At 36.3% G+C, this 19,461-nt stretch overlaps 1 protein-coding gene across 2 annotated transcripts in view, besides 1 other annotated feature; it reads right to left on the bottom strand.

Moving 5' to 3' along the window:
- IL1RAPL1 (interleukin 1 receptor accessory protein like 1) overlaps positions 1 to 19,461 on the bottom strand; it is a 1,369,273-nt gene that overhangs the window by 787,110 nt on the left and 562,702 nt on the right. The gene's annotated exons all lie outside the window — the stretch shown is intronic.
- Positions 13,679 to 14,462: an enhancer, noted in NCBI's record as "OCT4-NANOG hESC enhancer chrX:29173264-29174047 (GRCh37/hg19 assembly coordinates)". NCBI's record gives its function as "activates a minimal SCP1, AML or CMV promoter by ChIP-STARR-seq in naive H9 embryonic stem cells {active_cell/tissue: H9 hESC(naive)}" and the evidence as "EXISTENCE:reporter gene assay evidence [ECO:0000049][PMID:30033119]".

Genomic DNA, 19,461 nt, shown 5'->3' with positions numbered 1-19,461 from the left:
ATCCTACCAGGTAGTTTGAAATTGCTTTTAAAACTAAATGACCATATATTTTTGGAGTCACTGAAGATTTTTATATTTTTTTATCTGATGCATGTTTCTGTCATTTTTTTCATATGAGATTTTGGCTATAATTGTACTTAAGGAAGTCTTGAGACCCTAATTTACAGAAAGCAGGAAAATAAATACAGCTGCCATAATATTATCATAATAGATGACACTTTTTGTTTAAAACACAATGATGCCACAAAATCAGAGTAAAATAACTTCTATAGTGAGGCAGTGACTGTATAGGTTAAGGCAATGCCTAAAGAATTTACCTTATATATTGTTGGTGGGAATGTAAATTAGAATAGCCATTATGGAAAACAGTATGGAGTTTCCTCAAAAAAATAAAAATAGAACTTCCATATGATCCAGCAATCCCATTACTAGATATATATCCAAAGGAAATGAAATCAGTATGTCAAAGAGACATATGCACACCCATGTTTATTGCAGCACTATTCACAGTAGCCAAGATATAGAATCAACATAAATGCCCATTTACAAATGAAGAAAATGTGATATATATCACATTTATTAATATATCACATTTATCATATATATTCATATATATGAAAATATATATACAATTGTACATATGAATATATATACAATTGTACATATGAATATATATATACAATTGTACATATGAATATATATACAATTGTACATATGAATATATATATACAATTGTACATATGAATATACATATACAATTGTACATATGAATATACATATACAATTGTACATATGAATATATATATACAATTGTACATATGAATATATATATACAATTGTACATATGAATATATATATACAATTGTACATATGAATATATATATACAATTGTACATATGAATATATATATACAATTGTACATATGAATATATATACAATATATATACAATACATATACAATACATATACAATAGATGTATATATATGAATATAAATATACAATTGTATATATGAATATATATATACAATTGTGTGTGTATATATATATATATACAATTGAATACTATTCAGCCATAAAACAGAATGAAATCTTGTTATTTCAACAACATGGATGAACCTGGAGGATATTATGTTAAATGAAATAAGCCAGGTTCAGAAAGAAAAACACTGCATGATCTCACTCCTATGTGGAACCTAAAAAAGTTGATTTTATATAAGTAGAGAGTAGAATAGTAGTTAGCAAACATTGGTGAGGGTATGTGGGAGGGGGTTCTTGGGAAAGGTTATTAGTCAATTGGTACAAAATTAGTTAGACAGGAAAGAATAAGTTTTGCTATTCTATTACACACTAGGGTGACTATAGCAAATAACAATGTAATATATATTTCAAGACAGATAGAAGTGAAGATTTTGAATGCTGTCACCAAAAAGAAATGATAAATGTCTAAATTGGTGTATATAATTACCCTGATTTTATCCTCATACTATGTATACATGCACTGAAACATCATATTGTACCCCAATATTTAAATTATTATGTGTTAAGTATAAATAAAAAATGTAAAAGTAGAAAACTTTTTAAAAAATTTAACAATAAAGAGGGTAACCAAATTAAAAGGAACAGAAAAGCAAGCCAACATTACCATGGTGATAATCGCTTTTTAGTATAGTACTTCCATTTGACAATCCTTCCTGCATATTTCATTTAAAAAGATTAGAGGGAAGTGTGATATTTATACAAATTTGTACCATTACATCTAATAATCAATTTAGGTGTTGGCCAGTAAGTAAGCCGATTTATTGGTCTATTTCATTTTACTCTTGATAATGTTGGTGGGGGGGCATGCTTAATTTAAAATGTCTTTTATTCACCCTGTATTAAGTATTTATGGCTTCTGGCATATATACCATAGATCAGGAAAGAGATCTGGAAAGAAAACAGACCGAAAATAAGAGTAACATGATTTCACAACACTATCAACTTTATTGTCTTTAATATAAAGCTTTTATTATTTTGTTCACTACCCTTTCTTTAGGAAGTAAAATAACATAGTGTCTTCTCACAAACTATGGCAGAGCAATTTTTGAATCATATAGTAGAAATTTAGGCCATAAAATGCAATTTAAAAGACAGGCCAGTCTCCTTTTATTAAATAGAAGGAAAATACGTATTAAGTAAAAAACAAGCAGAAGTCTCCAGACTTTTTGATTATACAATATTATTAGGTTACAGAAAAAAATAAGAAGGAAAGGAGGAAGTGAGGAAAGGAGGGAGGGAAGGAAAGGAAGAAGGGAAGGGAAGGGGAAGGGGAAGCGGAATGGGAAGGGAGTACATATTCTCTCTCTACATTTATCACTATATAAATTATATACCTGTAATATTCTACCAATATATTATGTAAAAAATAAAATAGGCACAAAAAATTTGAAATGATAGGAAATACTTACTGAGAATTCACCGTGTTCAAAACAAGATGCAAGGTTCTCATGGAGGAAGTGAACAAAGAACATACGGCCTTATTTAGCATAAAATTTAACAATAAATTCAACAAAATCAATAAATTCCACATTATATCTATGATTATTGCTGTGAAGCAGGACTGCACGGTGTTAGGTGTTAGAAGGTATGTGACAGGGAATTCTAACCCAGTCTTTGAAGAAAAAGCTTTCCTAAGGAAGTGACATTGAATCTGGAAATTCACGCATGAAAAGGAGATAATTGGCTGAAGTGGTGCAAGTCATTTGACAGACAATACTTTGCAAATGGAGTAAGCAGCATGTGCAAAGGCCCTGGGATGAAAAAGTCAAGGCATGCACTTTCATGGTGAGAGAAGCTGAGAGAGTAAGATGAGAGGAATGGGGTGAAGATAGGAGGAGAAAGAGAAAAAAGTAAGCAAAATATGTTGGTCTCATTAAGGATTTGGGAGCAATGGGAAGTTATTAAGACCAACAGGAAGTTACCAAATGGTTTTAAGTCAGAGAGCAGCTTGATCATACTTGCATTTTTAAACAAAAAATTTAAAATTTTACACATTAAAAAATAGGCCTGAATGATGAGTAAACAAACCAGGCAAGAGTGAATGCAGTTTCAATTGTTCAGAAGATTGTCACTTCGAGTAGGCTGATGGTGTTGGAAATGGAGAGATGCAGAGATTCAAGGGAGATTTCACAGGCTCTGGATTGTTCAAGCCATGAAGATTACTTTATGACAGTAAGCAGGTAGAATTAAAGTCAATGGACTATTGCATGATGACTTCCTTTGAAAATCAAATAAAATAGGTTGTGCAAAACATTGTTTCATTCATTCTGTTATTTGCAAGAATGAAGTTATTAAAATAATTACATGCACTTCCTTGTGTTATTCTTCATTTTCCTGTGAACCACCAGACTATGAGCACTAACAGAAGCTATATTCTACATACATCTGACCGTCTTCCAGCATGAACACATGATAGCACAAGTCATAAACTAATTTTTGTGTGTTTATATAAAAAAGACTACAAAGAGTTGATGCCTCATGCTGAATGGAACTGGAAAATCTATATGCATATGCAAAGTTATTTTTACATATAGACAATGTGTAATGATAATATTTTGAGCTAAAGTGTTGCATGACTAAATACTACCCTTATTGACAAAGCTTAGAAAACAAACCTAGAAATTCGGTCTTTTGGAGTATCAATAAACTGAGAGGGTATCAAACAATTCCAGTACAAATTCAAGGTATATAGTAGTGTGTAGGAAGTGCTTCTTCAAAATGCCTGTAGCTCTTTTGCTTTTATCATATCTAGGCTCCCAAAAGATATGATGTTAACTATGAATCAGGCTTGACATTAAACATAGCTTCTCTGATGGCCAAAGGGAAACTATAAAATCTTTTAGTGATATAGCACAGCGTAAGAGAAATCACTGTCCTAGGGATTTGGGAGATTTTCATTTTTACTCCACTTTTTTCAATAACCAGCTATATGTCCTTTGTAAAGTAACTTAACCAATATGAGTTTTTATTTTAATATCTATTCCACGGAAGGATTCTACTAGATGGTCTCCAAGGCTCTGCTCATATCTGTGATTTTAGAAAATGAATTAAATAAACATTTAAAGGAACAGTGAAAATTAAACTAAAACAATGTGCTAGAATCCTAAGAGTTTGGAAACAGTATAGCAGCATGAGTAACTAACCTGATAGAGTAAACAATCTGAATGTATGACACTTTTTTAGCAGAAGACTGTGAGTTAGCTGTTAGTTTAATTTTATTTTTTTCATTTATTTTACTTTATTCTGTTTTGAGATGAAGTTTTGCTCTTGCTGCCCAGGTTGGAGTGTAATGGCGCGATCTCCGCTGACTGCAACCTCTACCTCCTAGGTTCAAGCGATTCTCCTGCCTCAGCCTCCCAAGTAGCTGGAATTACAGGTGCCCACCACCACGCCCAGCTAATTTTTGTATTTTTAGTAGAGATGAGGTTTCACCTCATTGGCCAGGCTGTTCTCAAACTCCTGACCTCAGGTGATCCACCCGCCTCGGCCCCCTAAAGTGCTGGGATTACAAGCGTGAGCCACCGCACTCGGCCTAGTTTAAAACTATGTATCCTGAAGACGTAATCACAAATTACAAGCACAAGTTAGACGCTGTGCATGCATAGTACAGAAAGAACTGATGGCTAGATTCCTGCACTCACCCTGTTTATGCTCACGGACAAAGATTCCCACATTATATTACAGAGGATAGTAACAAAATACCCATAGAAGAGGTTAGTTTTTGACTTAGACACACATACACAGATACACATACACACACACACATACACAATAATGGAGTATAATGAAATCATTTTTTAAAAAAAGAAAAAATGGGAGGCTTAAAAGGATGACGAAAAAGTCTGTGAGTGAAAAAATGGTGAACTGATTTGATGTCAAGGAATCTGACTTATATTTATACTAAACCACAATGCACAACACACACATTTTTCTCCTATAATAAAATTTAGACTTAGACTTTGATTTCAAAGTCACTATATAATGTGAAGGCTTCTTATAGTATGTGGACATGAATGAGTGAAATATTGATCACATACTTTGAGTAGAATAAGGTTGGTGCTTATCTAGTAATAAAAAAACAGAACCTGTCAATGGCCATTCTAAGGGCTAAGTCAACATTCATTCTTTCACTTGCCTACTTATTAATTCATTCGTTCACTCCAAAGGAATTTTTTTTGTGTTCATATCTGTGCTTGGTTCTGGGATCATTTACACATTTATTTATAAGTCAATTATTCAGCATCTGCACTGGGATCTGGGGATACAAAATGAATAGTACACAGTCTTGGCTCTCAAGGAGCTTATCTTGCAGTAGGAGCAGCCAGACATTGACAAGTACAAGTAAAAGGAACATAATGGTCTTCCTGATTGATAATGTGTGCCGTCCAAAGTCAGGTCACAAAGGAAGAAGTGGCTAAATAGCAGAAAACAGCTATGGATATTCAGAGCCTATAATGAAAATACATGTCTCCTTGCCACTTTCACCTTCCTTATGCTTCAAACATTTCAGAGATTTGTATAAAGACATTTATGTTTTTCACCTAGAGGCAAGTGAACAGGAAACATTTGCTCAATATGAATAAAGCTCTATTTACAATCATTGAGATTTATTGGACCTCTATGGACATATACTTCCAGGACATGTATTTCTTTCTGGAAATAAGGATCAAGGAAAAAGACAAACATATTCAAAGCCAGTTTTATTTTGTGATATTTTCTACCAGAAATTTTCTGGTGGTTAGCTGAAAATATCATTTATGCATATGTATTTAAATATATGAAAATTCAAATTTCCAAATTACTAGATGAACAGTAAAGGACACATTTCTCATTAGTTTCTCTAGTCTTCGTTTTAATTTGTTCTATATATTATACCTGTGTTCCTTTGTTATCTCTCTTCTCAGGTTGATTCTGCTTCTACCATGTCCCTTTTCTGTGTCTACTGCCATGTCCTACTTCAGAGGTCTTATTACCTCTCACCTGTAATTGCCTCTAGACTTATCTCTCTGCCTCCAGTCTTGGCCTCCAATCTATAAATTACTGCTAAATTACTTTGCCTAGAGTTCAACTTGATCATGTTGCTCTGAGCTGGAACACCTTTCCAAATTGCCTACTGCCTATCAATTTAAGCACAAACTCCTCATTTTAGATGAGAAAGTCCTTTAAAGCCTTGACACTGAAAGTGTGGTCTGTATACCAGCAACATTAGCAGCACCTAGGAGCTTGTTAGAAATGCAGACTCCCAGGCCGCAGCTCAGATTTCTAGCTGATTCAAAGACACATTACACTGGGAGAAGCATTGCTCTAAAGAACCATCATGCTGTATTTCCAGCCTTTGTTCCCTATTACCTTCCTTTCTTTGGCCCCAACTTACAAGTAAATTTGCCCTGAAAATATCTTCCTGACTTTGAACCACAACAGCTCTAACTTCTAATACCACAGGGCACAGCATTTAGCTTTAGTGAACTTTTCTTCTTTCTTTCTTTTTTTTTTTTTTGAGACGGAGTCTTGCTCTGTCGCCCAGGCTGCAGTACAGTGGCGTGATCTCGGCTCACTGCAACCTCCGCCTCCCAGGTTCAAGTGATTCTCCTGCCTCAGCCTCCCGAGTAGCTGGGATTACAGGCGCCCACCACCATGCCTGGCTAATTTTTTGTATTTTTAGTAGATATGGGGTTTTACCATGTTGGTCAGGCTGGTCTCGAAATCCTGACCTCATGATCCACCTGCCCTGGCCTCCCAAAGTGCTGGGATTACAGGCGTGAGCCACCATGCCTGGCCCCTGTGAACTTTTCTATTACCATATTGCTGCCTCCTTGAAGGTAGACATAACAGTGTATTCATTTTTCTTTTCCCCATTGTGATGGTATGCAAAATAAGCTCCTACTCCCTGGGCGATATTTAAGATTTCCTCGATTGAGCCATGAGAAAAATATTTACAGCTGTTTAAAAATTTATTTGTATTCCATTATTTCAATTCTCTATTTTATTTAGGTATTAATGTATACTATATATTAATATAGTAATATATGTATTATTTGTTATTAGAAAAATATACACATATTGGGGTATTTGCTCAAAATTTTGATTGGTGTGATTGCATGAACAAAAATACTTACAGATCACTGCCTGACACACCAAGTATATTTATGGTCTTCTGCAGAAATTAAACAGATATTTATTTATTTATTTATTTATTATTTTACTTGAAGTTCTGGGATACATGTGCAGAACGTGCAGGTTTGTTACATAGGTATACATGTGACATGGTGGTATGCTGCACCTATCAACCCATCATCTAGGTTTTAAGCCCACATGCATTAGCTATTTGTCCTAATGCTCTCCCTCCCCTTGTCTCCTAACCCCAGACAGGCCCCCGTGTGTGATGTTCCCCTCCCTGTGTCCATGTGTTCTCATTGTTCAACTCCCACTTATGAGTGAGAACATGTGGTGTTTGGTTTTCTGCTCCTGTGTTAGTTTGCTAAGGATGATGGCTTCCAGCTTCATCCATTTCCCTGCAAAGGACATGAACTCATTCTTTTTTATGGCTGCATAGTATTCCATAGTGTATATGTGCCACATTTTCTTTATCCAGTCTATCATTGATGCATATTTGGGTTAGTTCCAAGTCTTTGCTATTGTGAATAGTGCTGCAATACACATACATGTGCATGTGTCTTTATAGTAGAATGATTTATAATCCTTTGGGTATATACCCAGTAATGGGATTGCTGTGTCAAATGGTATTTCTGGTTCTAGATCCTTAAGGAATCGCCACACTGTCTTCCACAATGGTTGAACTAATTTACACTCCCACCAACAGTGTAAAAGCGTTGTTATTTCTCCACAGCCTTGCCAGCATCTCAACAGATATTTATTAACTGAACTAAATCTTTACAACTGGCTCCACTATAGCATACAGAAGAATATTTTATGCAGGTGAGAGTGCTTAATTTCTTCAGTCAAATAAATGTTTCCAAGATTAAGGGAAAGCTGATGCAAAGTATTATAGAAAACATGAACATTTTTATTTACTTATTAAATAAAAGGTAAACCTAGAGGTGTCTGCGAAAGTTCAAGTGGGTTCGTTATTTCAACTCAGCAGTAGGAAACATCTATTCCTAATACATTAGCTAATACATCTATTCCTAATACGTTAGCTTCAATAATCATCAAGCAATTGGAACATGATGATTTAAGATTGTTTCCTTGATTATGATACCTATTTTGAATACACTATTTCAGTAATTAAGTATGCCCTTAGAATACAGATTACATTTCTTACTATAGTTCAGAAAGTTCTCCATACATCACTTTCTCTCCTGCATCACCAGTAATTGATTGCCTCATTTTATAGCTGTACTTGAGCAACTTCACTGACCTAATTAAACCTTTCAATGGATGGTCAGCCCTTTTTCCTCCCAGGCCATGTATCCCTGCTGTATACTCATAGAGCTTCTTCCATCCATCCACTTGCTGTATCAAAACAGTTATCACACTTTTTTTTTTTTTTGAGACAGAGTCTCGCTTTGCACCCAGGCTGGAGGGCAGTGGTACAATCTTCTCTGCTCACTGCAACCTCCGCCTCCCGGGCTCAAGCGATTCTCCTGCCTCAGCCTCCCAAGTACCTGGGATTACAGGCATGCACCACCACGCCTGCCTGGCTAATTTCTGTATTTTTAGTAGAGACAGGGTTTCACCATGTTGGCCAGGCTGGTCTCGAACTCCTGACCTCAGGCGATCTACCCGCCTTGGCCTCCCAAAGTGCTGGGATGACAGGCATGAGCCACCCAACCCGGCCCACACTTTTTTCAATGTCTTGTTTAACTGTTAAATTTTCTCCCAGACTACAAGCTTTCTGAAGGAAGGGATTATATCTATCTTGTTAAGTGACTGATTCATGGTTGATGGCATAGTTGTTGGCACTTAGTAGGTACTCCATTAACATTTGTGGCATAGATGAACAAACCAATGAACATATAAATTTGAAGATATATAATGGAAATTTGGCATCCTATGTAAATCATAAATCATGCTTGGCAATTGTACATATTCAGAAAATAGTAGTTTTATTAGTAGTAGTATCATCTATATTATTATTACTATCGTTTTAGTAAAATTAAGACATCTTTACACAATATTTTAAAGAAGATACTTTCATAGAACACAACAGTAAAATTAAATAAAAATAAAACCCATCTATCATCATTAAATTGGAATAAAACTCCATATCTAATGAACAAATTTTATAAAAATAACAAACATAATATTTATTAAGAAAAATGAGAAGCAGTGTCCACATCATAGCAGAGTTACTTTCACTGCTAAGTGAAACTACTCTACAATGATAGTACTTTTGCTGTGAATATATCTGAGAAAACTAAAATAGTAAAACTACTGCATCTAAAGACTAAAATAGAAAACATAATTTGCATAGTTCACATATACCAGATTAATAAGCAATTTTTCAGAAAACGTAGTGTCCTACCACATAAGGACATTGAGTCCCAAGAGCAATATTGTGAAAATTTCCTTGAGAAAGACTTATTTAAGAAGAAAAGAGGCTGGGTGCTGTGGCTCACACCTATAATCCCAGCATTTTGGGAGGCTGAGGTAGGCAGATCACCTGAGGTCGGGAGTTCAAGACCAGCCTGACCAACATGGAGAAACCCCATCTCTCCTAAAAATACAAAATTATCCAGATGTGGTGGCTCTTGCCTGTAATCCCAGCTACTCGGGAGGCTAAGGCAGGAGAATCACTTGAACCTGGGAGGCAGAGGATCGCGCCATTGCACTCCAGCCTGGGCAACAAGAGCGAAACTTTGTCTCAAAAAAAAAGAATTGTGATACAGTTAAAGATGAAATCTGGAAATTAATCCTAGAGTAGATTTATGTAGGGCCTCACTGATGAACTTGACATGTAAATCTGAAAAGAATGCTGGGCTATCCAATTGATGTGCTATCCATTACAAAATGGCAGTTTTCTATCAAAAATGTGTGTCACTTCAGAAATTCACAGACATTTCTGGACTGTATGACCCTCGGCATATTAAATTATGAACACATTGACCTTTGATCTGGTAAATAATGTATCTTTTATACAATGCACTTAGCTATCATCTGCCAAAAATTATGTATACTGTGCCACAAACTCTAGATTGAATATCTGCAGAGGAGAGTTAAAGAAGAAGTGTCATGTAAACTGAATATTAGAATGATGACATGCCACATAACAATTTATCCAGTGAAAAAGAGCAATGTTAACATCATTGAAACAATGCTACATAATTGATTATGACAACTCCAATTATAATTTTAGTGATTAATTATCTAAAACAGACTTTTAGGAAGGACTCTATTTCTACCTTATCTGTAAATGGCATTCTATAAACATTTCAAAATGAATTACTTAGTTAAAATATTATTTATATAAATCTGTGAAGAAGTCATTTTTATTCTCTTGTTACAGATGAAGAAATGAAGAGGCAGAGGTTGCAGTGAGCCGAGATCACGCCATTGCACTCCAGCCTGGGCAACAAGAGGGAAACTCCATCTCAAAAAAAAAGAAGAGGAAGGAAAGAAACAAAGAAAGAAAGGAAAGAGAGAGAGAGAGAGAGAGGGAGAGGGAGGGAGGGGGGGGGAGAGAGAGAGAGAGAGAGAGAAAAGAAAAGAAAAAAGAAAAGAAAGAGGTTGTTTATCCAGGACCCCAAAGACAGCGCAACGTGCTACTCATTCTCTGCTATAGGCCTCTTTGAGATGAAAGAGCAATAGAAAAACACAAATTTTTAAAAGATGTGTGTCAAGTGTGATGAGACTCCTTTAAGCAGTATTTGGAGGATTTTTTTTGTTTCTATGAACACCACAGATGGCAGTATTGCTAAATATCAGCACCAGCCCAGGTGCAGTGGTGGCTCACGCCTGTAATCCCAGCACTTTGGGAGGCCGAGTCGGGCAGATAACCTGAGGTCAGGAGTTCGAGACCAGCCTGTTCAACATGGCAAAATCTCATCTCTACTAAAAATATAAAAATTTAGCCAGGCATGGTGGCAGGTGCCTGCAATCTCAGCTACTCAGGGGAGGCTAAGACTTGAGTATCACTTGAACCCGGTAGGCAGAGGTTGCAGTGAGGGAGATCGTGCCACTGCACTCCAGCCTGGGGGATAGAGCGAGACTCTGCCTCCAAAAAAAGAAAAAAAATGACCATCAAATTAAAAGTGAATATTTTCTATGCTAAGATTAATACTGGCCAACATATATTGGAGGTGTTCCCATTGCATTAGCCAGTCAAAACCATTACCAGTGATTTAAAATTGAGTTTGGAATGCAAGGTACCCTTTCCTATGTTTTCCTGTAGTTAGACAAAGTACAAATGTTTGCAACGGTTATACCCTAGTGGTCTTTGGAATGGGAGTGAGATAAGGGGGAAGTAATGCTCTTTAAAGTGTAGCACTGCTAATCAAATAAGGAATGATTCCCTTGGGGTCATTCTAAATAACAAAAGGACTCAAGGTAAGAAATTAAAATCAAGGGCACAAATAGTCTTATAATTTCAGTCCTTTATTCTCTTCCTTCTACTACATGGGACTCTAATCATTATAATATTGCATACTTTTTATTTAAAAAAGAAACTGAACACATTACCCCGTTGACTTTCTTTAAACTCTTCATATGATTTAATAGGGGAACTAAATTTTTTAATGTGATTTAATGTAATTACAATGACAATAATAGCTTTATTAAGCATTTACTACACTAGTCACTGAGCTAAAATCTTCATGTGCTTTATCTCATATAATCTTAACTATAATCCTAAGAGGTAAGTCATACTGGTGGGCTAATTTCTTGAGAAATGAATCTGAGGCTGAGTAAACTAATTTGCCCAAAGTCATACAGCTAATAAATGGAGTATTTAGGATTCAGATCAATTTCTGCTATGCTATCAAGAAAGATCCCCCCTAAATTATACCCCACTAACAAAGCAGCACAATAATATTCCATGTATTAAAATACACTGAGATATTTAGGGTAAATATCTGCAGTGTGTTTGTCCTTGTGTTCATTTATTACACATCCTAGTTACACACAACTGATCAGGAGAAATTGTATTGAGGACAAATATATACACATGACATTTATAAATTTGTGTGTATATTTTTAAGTTTTTTCCCTTATTACTGAATTACTTTGTTTGGATATTTTACAGCACTTCAATGAATTATCATGAGAAAAATTAGGGCCTAGAGATAGAGTAGGTGTTTCCCTTGCTCCCAATTACTTCTTCCAAATGAATTGTCTTCTTTCAATAAAAGGAACTCATTTGAGGTTGTGCCATCAGCCACCATCACCCATCTTCCCTCAAAGCTATAGTTATCTACAGATCTCCCTGTCATTTTCTCTCATTTAGTAAGAGTTTTAGAGCCTGGATCACTGTCCCATTCACCTACCCACATGTCCACATTTTGCTTATTTCAACATATACAAAGGGGCTCTGTCTAACATTCTAGCCTCTCTGTTCTCTTATCTCTTTAACTCCAAGGATCTTTTTCTCCACTCTTTCTCAGCCACCAACTGTTGAGGTCATATCCAAATCCTCCCATCCTTAAAAATAGAACAAAATCCTCAAAACTACTTTTCAAGAAATCCATTCTGTAATTATTTTGGGTAAAAGGCTATCAAAACCCTTCGACCTGTGTTAAAATTGGATCTTTGGTAACTTTTTAGTTCTGATCCCCTGAAGACAGATAAACGTGGTATGTCAAATGTGTTACAAGGTCATACTGGCTATGATAAAAATGAGTCCTGATTGGTAAGTTTCACATGAACTAGAAGAAACTATAAATGAAGTATAGATGCCTGATCTGGATGTCATATCTTTGCACTTCCCTGAGTGTGATGACTTGCAACTGAGCATGTTTTCAGGGGCTGTGACTACAGATTTGATATAAGAGATACTGGCTACTGGGGAATGAGGTTTTTACGCCCAGGTGATTTCTACACCTACACAATGTGATTCGTATTCCATGATGTGAGACATGGGGGAAAGGAATCGCTAAAGATAACTACCCAGATGGCTGTGGGAACTGCTACATAGATTTGTGTGATGACTATTCTCAAGGAGGAAGGACACATAATGTTCATTTGTGTTTTATATTCTTCTAAGTGAATCTAATACCAACTGTGATCTATGATAGAGTTTAAGTCGAAGTCTTTGGTTCTAAGAACACACCTCAGTAGGTGTCCCAGTTACCATCTTCTCCTTCCATCTCATTTACCACAGTATCTCCACTCGAAAATATGCTTCAATCCAACAGGATACACTTTGCTAGGCTCATGGAAAATTGCAAGCAATGTAGCACACTAAAAAGGAATAAAATCCATCTTTGGAGTCAGACAGACCAGGGTTAGAATTTTTCCTTTGTCAAATGCTAGCTAAGAGCCCTTGGAAAATTTGCTTATCTTTTCTTAGTTTAGATTTCTCAAAGCCAAAGTGCAATACTTATGCACACTTTGAAATAGTGTCAAGAGGGTAGATGCAATAAATAAATAATGTAATAATGAATTACAAATGTATATTTATTATAATATAAATAATGAATTCTAAATTCATATACTATAAATTATTAGATTCCTGTATTAATTTATTTTTAATTATTGATAAATATTATAAAGTATTTATGTGTGACTATTACATTGTACTGCTTATAAATGTTAGAAATATAAAAGCAAAAGTCAAATCATGTGTTATGAAGCAGTTAATGACATACACGCCCTGAAATGGTAGCTACTATTATCTTGTTAGAATAAAGGTAGACTGTAACAAAATCCCTGTTTGCAAGAAACTTACAATTCACTTAAAAGCATGCATATTTGAAATTACCATATTCAAGGTTCTATTTTATATTTAAAGGAAAGACCAGTGAGAGAGAGTTCTATCCCAAAACTTAGTAAGAATCTCCGCAATTTTCTACAATTCAAAAATCAGCATAAGAAAGGTCATCCACTTCTGAATATTTTTGGTGGATATATTGTTGAATGAATGGTGTTTCTAACAAAGGAAGTTAATGAAGACAATGAGTGTACCTGAGGGCTCCCATTTAAGTGGGCTTTTAGCCAGTCCTAGAAGAATAGACTTATTTAAAGACAACAATAGAGCTCTCACCAGAGCTTATTCAGTGCAAAAAACAAAGGATGCCTCATTCAATGTATTTCAACTCAATAGAATGTTTGAGTTCCTCTTATGAAAAAGATACCACGTTTGTTTCACCAGGCATGGTGGCTCATGCCCGTAATCCCAGCACTTTGGGAGGCTGAGGCGGGTGGATTACCTGAGGTCATGAGTTTGAGACCAGCCTGACCAATATGATGAAACCCCGTCTCCACTAAAAAAATTAGCCAGGCGTGGTGGCATGTGGTGGCGTGTGCCTGTAATCCCAGCTACTTGGGAGGCTGAGGCAGGAGAATCACTTGAGCCCAGGAGGCGGAGGTTGCAGTGAGCCAAGATCATGCCATTGCAATCCAGCCTGGGCAACAAGAGCGAAACTCTGTCTCAAGAAAAAAAAAAAAAAGACAGAAAGAAAGAAAAAGATACCATGTTAGACTCTAGCCAGCTAAGTAATTGTGGGAAAGTTACTTAATCATTACTAGTCTTAATTTCTTAATTAGTTAAATGGGGGTACTAAGTATCAATATTGTGTGAATATTAAATGCATCTTTGTATTTGAAAATATCTTTTCATAATTCCCTAATTTTACTTTTATTAACACAAAATTAAATTTTATTTATAGCTGAATCACCTTTATACATTCTGGTTCTTCATTTACCACGAACTTCATAATAAACACTTTAAGTCATAATCTCTTTGGTTGAAAAATCGGGCTTAATCATTTTACAATCACATATTCAGATTACAACAGGTAATGTTTATTTTTTATATTGTGACAGGAAGAAAAAATAGTATAAATTATTAGGAACTTTTTATAGATTAATTTTCCAGATTAACTAGTAACAGTTTGGACTCCACAATTTTTTTTTTTTTGAGACAGTCTCACTCTGTCACTCAGGCTGGAGTGCAATGGCATGATCTTGGCTCACTGCAACCTCCGCCTCCTGGGTTCAGGTGATTCTCTTGCCTCAGCCTCCTGAGTAACTGGGATTACAGGCATGCGCCACCATGCCCAGCTAATTTTTTTATTGTTAGTAGAGACCAGGTTTCACCATGTTGGCCAGGCTGGTCTCGAACTCCTGATCTCAGGTGATCCACCCGCCTCGGCCTCCCAAAGTGCTGGGATTACAGGAGTGAACCACCGCACCTGGCCCACAAAATATTTTAAAATGCACAACTGGGTTAAGAAGATACCAACTGGCCATTTTGGATAGAGAGAACTAGGAATACCCAAATCATGAACATTACTGGAAGATGAAGATCCAAGTGGCCACTCTAGGAAACACATGCTTGTAAGGCTTTGTTGGGAGAGGAAGTGCAAAGTGGTCAAAGATGATAAACCTTCTCTAATAGATGTCACTCCAGAACATGCAAAGCCTAACAACGGCTCTTTCTGTTGATAGCAGCCACTTCGCAAGAAAAGCAAAGAGCTCGTAGGAGATGGTTTCTAAGTTTTCTCTCTAATTTTTCTATGGTATAAATTCCTTCTTGTGTTCAGTTTATGTACTAATATTATGATAAACTTCTAAAACAGAGATTGAATTATTTTGTAAGGACTTAGTTGAATGATGAGCTCCATATCCTTCTAATGTCCCTAACCACTATTAGAATCAAGTACAAATATAATATCCACACTCTATGACAAAGAGTTCCATAAGCTAAATGGTAATTTTCTCAATGTGGTCAATACAAATAATTTACTTTCTAATCAGCTATGATAATGACACAAATGACAAGTTTATTTTGAAAATGCTAGAAGTAGGCTAATCGCTGGATCTCAAGTAGCAGAACTATTATGTGTACACATGGAAGTCTAATTTTCTAAGTCAACTTTTCTATTTCAAAACGAAATATACATTATGAGACACAAGCCTCCATTTGTTAAAATCATAATTCAACATCTAGCATCAAGAACATCTGTACTACATCTTGAATATTTTACGAGATAAGGGTAAACCAGTATAGGATTGTCTTATTAAATTAGGAGGGAAGAGTGGGACATATCAATTGTGGTAGGCAGAATAATGGCCTCCCAAAGACATCTGTGTCCTAATCTCCTGAACCTGCGAATATATTACCTTATAAGGCAAAGGGGAGTTAACGTAGCAGATATAATTAGGACTACTAGTTAGCTGACTTTATGATACAGAGATAAGCCAGGGTTATCCAGATGAGCCCAGTGTAATCGCAAGGGTATTAAATATGAGAAAAGGAGGCAGAAGAGTTAATGTCAAAGGGATGCTCTGTGAGATTCAACTGGCTACTGCTAGCTTTGACGATGGAAGAGGGCCAAGAGATAAGAAATGTAGACAGTCTCTAGAAGCCAAAGAAGGCAAGAAAACAGATTCTCTCCCAGAGTCTCCAGAAAAGAATGCAGCCATGATGACACCTTAACTTTAGCTTAGTAAAATCCATTTTGGAATTCTGACTTCCAGAACTGTAAGATAATAAATTTGGGTTGTTTAAGCCACTAAGTTTATGTTAATTTATTATAGCAGCAATAGGAAACAACCCAATCAAAGAATATTTTACTGTAAGAATTATTAGTTATCTTATCCTCATCATGGGAAGCTATTTGGAAGTACCAAATATCGTAACTGAACAAATTCATTGCTATTATTCCCTGGTTACTATATATTAACATTTGAAACAAATCTACATTGACATAATTTCAAAGAGTTACATATTTGGAATTTTTCTGTTTTCTTTGAACAACGAAGAGTTCACAGGCTGTTACATTTTCAGACAATCACAAGTTGTTACATTTTCAGACAATCACAAGTTGTTATGTTGTCAGACAATGAGTCCAAAAACATCCATTAGGCCTCTATTATATTTAGAACACTGTGCTAGTGGATTACATCAAGTTATAATGTAATTAAAAATAATATGTAATCACAAATGCCCACAGTGTGAGTCTTCATAAATAGGTAACATTTGACTATGTGGGACGGGGAGTAGGGTAAGACTGAAAACAATAATCAAGAAAAGGAGACAATATGAGAAAGGCATGAAGGATGAAAGTCACAAGGCATACTCTGAGTAGCCTAATAGCTAGAGTAGCTTTCTCCAGCAAAGATGTTGATATGGTTTGGCTGTGTCCCCACTCAAATCTCATCTTTAATTGTAGTTTCCATAATCCCATGTTATGCATGGGAGGGGCCTGGTGGGAGGTAGTTGAATCATGGGGATGGGTTTAATCCCATGTTGGTCTCATGATAGTGAATAAGTCTCATGAGATCTGGTGGCTTTATAAAGGGCAGTTCCCCTGCACATGCTCTCCTGCCTGCCACCATGTAAGACGTGACTTTGCTCCTCTTTTGCCTTCCGCCATGATTGTGAGGCCTCCCCAGCCATGTGGAACTGTGAGTCCATCAAACCTCTTTTTCTTTATAAATTAACCAATCTTGGGTATTTCTTCATAGCAGCATGAAAATGGACTAATACAGATGTACACTAAGAAGATTAATTTAGAAATAATATATAGGCTGGCAGAGCAAATACAGTGACCCAGATAAACTCCCCTGGCCAGTATCTTTTCTCTGAACTCTGACTTCCAACTTTCATATCTAAGTCCTTTCATCTGAGGGATTTCCCTGGCTGCAGAAGCATTCTCTTCTCACTTGCACTACACGCAGGAAGAGTTCAACACCAAAAAGTTCTTGGGGGTAGCCTAAACCAATAACCAATGGGAACCAGTCTATAAATGATGCTCTTTTGATCCTCAGTTAGAATAACTCCAAGTCAGATGCTCTATCCTGTTTCCTAGGGTTCTCTGTTAGGACTAAGTTCCAGCTATGTACAGTTGTAACTTTCTTGATAACACACCTTTTATTGGTCAGCTTCCTTTTCCCATCTCACTTCATTCCCAGACTGTTGTGTTTGGGGGGTCATGCTCCAAATAAACTACCAGCACTTAAAGCCTTGTCTCAGGATCTGCCAGTGAGGGGATGCAAACTAAGAGAGTTGGATTCAGCATGTAAGGAGTCCAAGCCAGAGATGCTAGTATGGAACTTTGGCAACAATTATTAGAACTATCCAGTTCAAAACTACACAGAAGCAGCAGGATTAAAAACATTTTGAAAGTGAAACAGATAGGAATTGGCAACTTATTTTACATGGGATGACAAGTAAGGATGAGTCAACTTTGATTTAAGCTTGATGAGTTAGGTAGGATTTTGGAACCATCCATGGAAACAGCAAAATCAGAAAATGATCAGTTGGTGACTTGCTTCTTAATGTGATAGTTTGGTTTGCTTGTTTGTTTGTTTGTTTTTAGCACTGAAGCTTTTGTTTCATGTTCTGGATGTAGTCAACATCCAGATGTGGTGGAAGGAGCCTGATACAATGGAGATAACCTAGGCTTTGGAGCCAGGAAATCCTGGAATCAATCTTTGCTTGCTTCTCTGCTCATTAGGTTTAGCATCTAGGGCAGGTCACACGATCATATTGTGCTTTTGTTTCTTTTTTTTTCTTTTTTTTTTTTTTTGAGATGGAGTCTTGCTCTGTCACCCAGGCTAGAGTGCAGTGGCACGATCTCAGCTCACTGCAACCTCCGCCTCCCGGTTTCAAGCGATTCTCCTGCCTCGGCCTCCTGAGTAGCTGGGATTACAGGCATGCACCAACACGCCCAGCTAAGTTTTGTATTTTTAGTAGAGACGGGGTTTCACCATGTTGGTCAGGCTGGTCTCAAACTCCTGACCTCGTGATCTGCCCTCCTCAGCCTCCCAAAGTGCTGGGATTACAGGAGTGAGCCACCGCGCCCAGCCTTGTTTCTTAATTTATAATATCAAGATGGAAACACCCATCTTGTATTTACTGAAAGGAGCTCATTATGATTATGTACCCTCAGATGTTCATAACCAAACAGAAAGGAATGCTCAGATGCTTTATTTGCTTTTGGGGTCATGGTTCCCCTTGTCCCCATCTTGGCCTTCTTTCTACTCCACCACATTTCTGTATTTAAACAATCTGAAATTCTTTTTTTACATTGAAATAATAGAAATGTTAGCTGCTGCTGCTGCTGCTATTATTGTTGTTTTGTTATTATCATTACTTATCTATCCTGTCTGCCTAGTACTGTTGCAAAGCTCAAGAGGAACAACGGATAAGAAAGCTCCTGGTAAGTTACATAGAGCCACATTTAAGTAATTATTTTCTAGAATGAAAATTCCTTAAACTATGATCATTTCTATTTTATTCAGTGCTCTATTCCCAGTGCCTTGCACGAAGCCTGGCATAGAGGAATGCAACGATATTTATT

This window comes from Homo sapiens, chromosome X, assembly GCF_000001405.40.
Source record: "Homo sapiens chromosome X, GRCh38.p14 Primary Assembly".
Taxonomy (NCBI): Eukaryota; Metazoa; Chordata; class Mammalia; order Primates; family Hominidae; genus Homo; species Homo sapiens.
The sequence above is the reverse complement of the archived record's forward strand: the minus strand, read 5'-3'. Positions and strand labels throughout refer to the sequence as shown.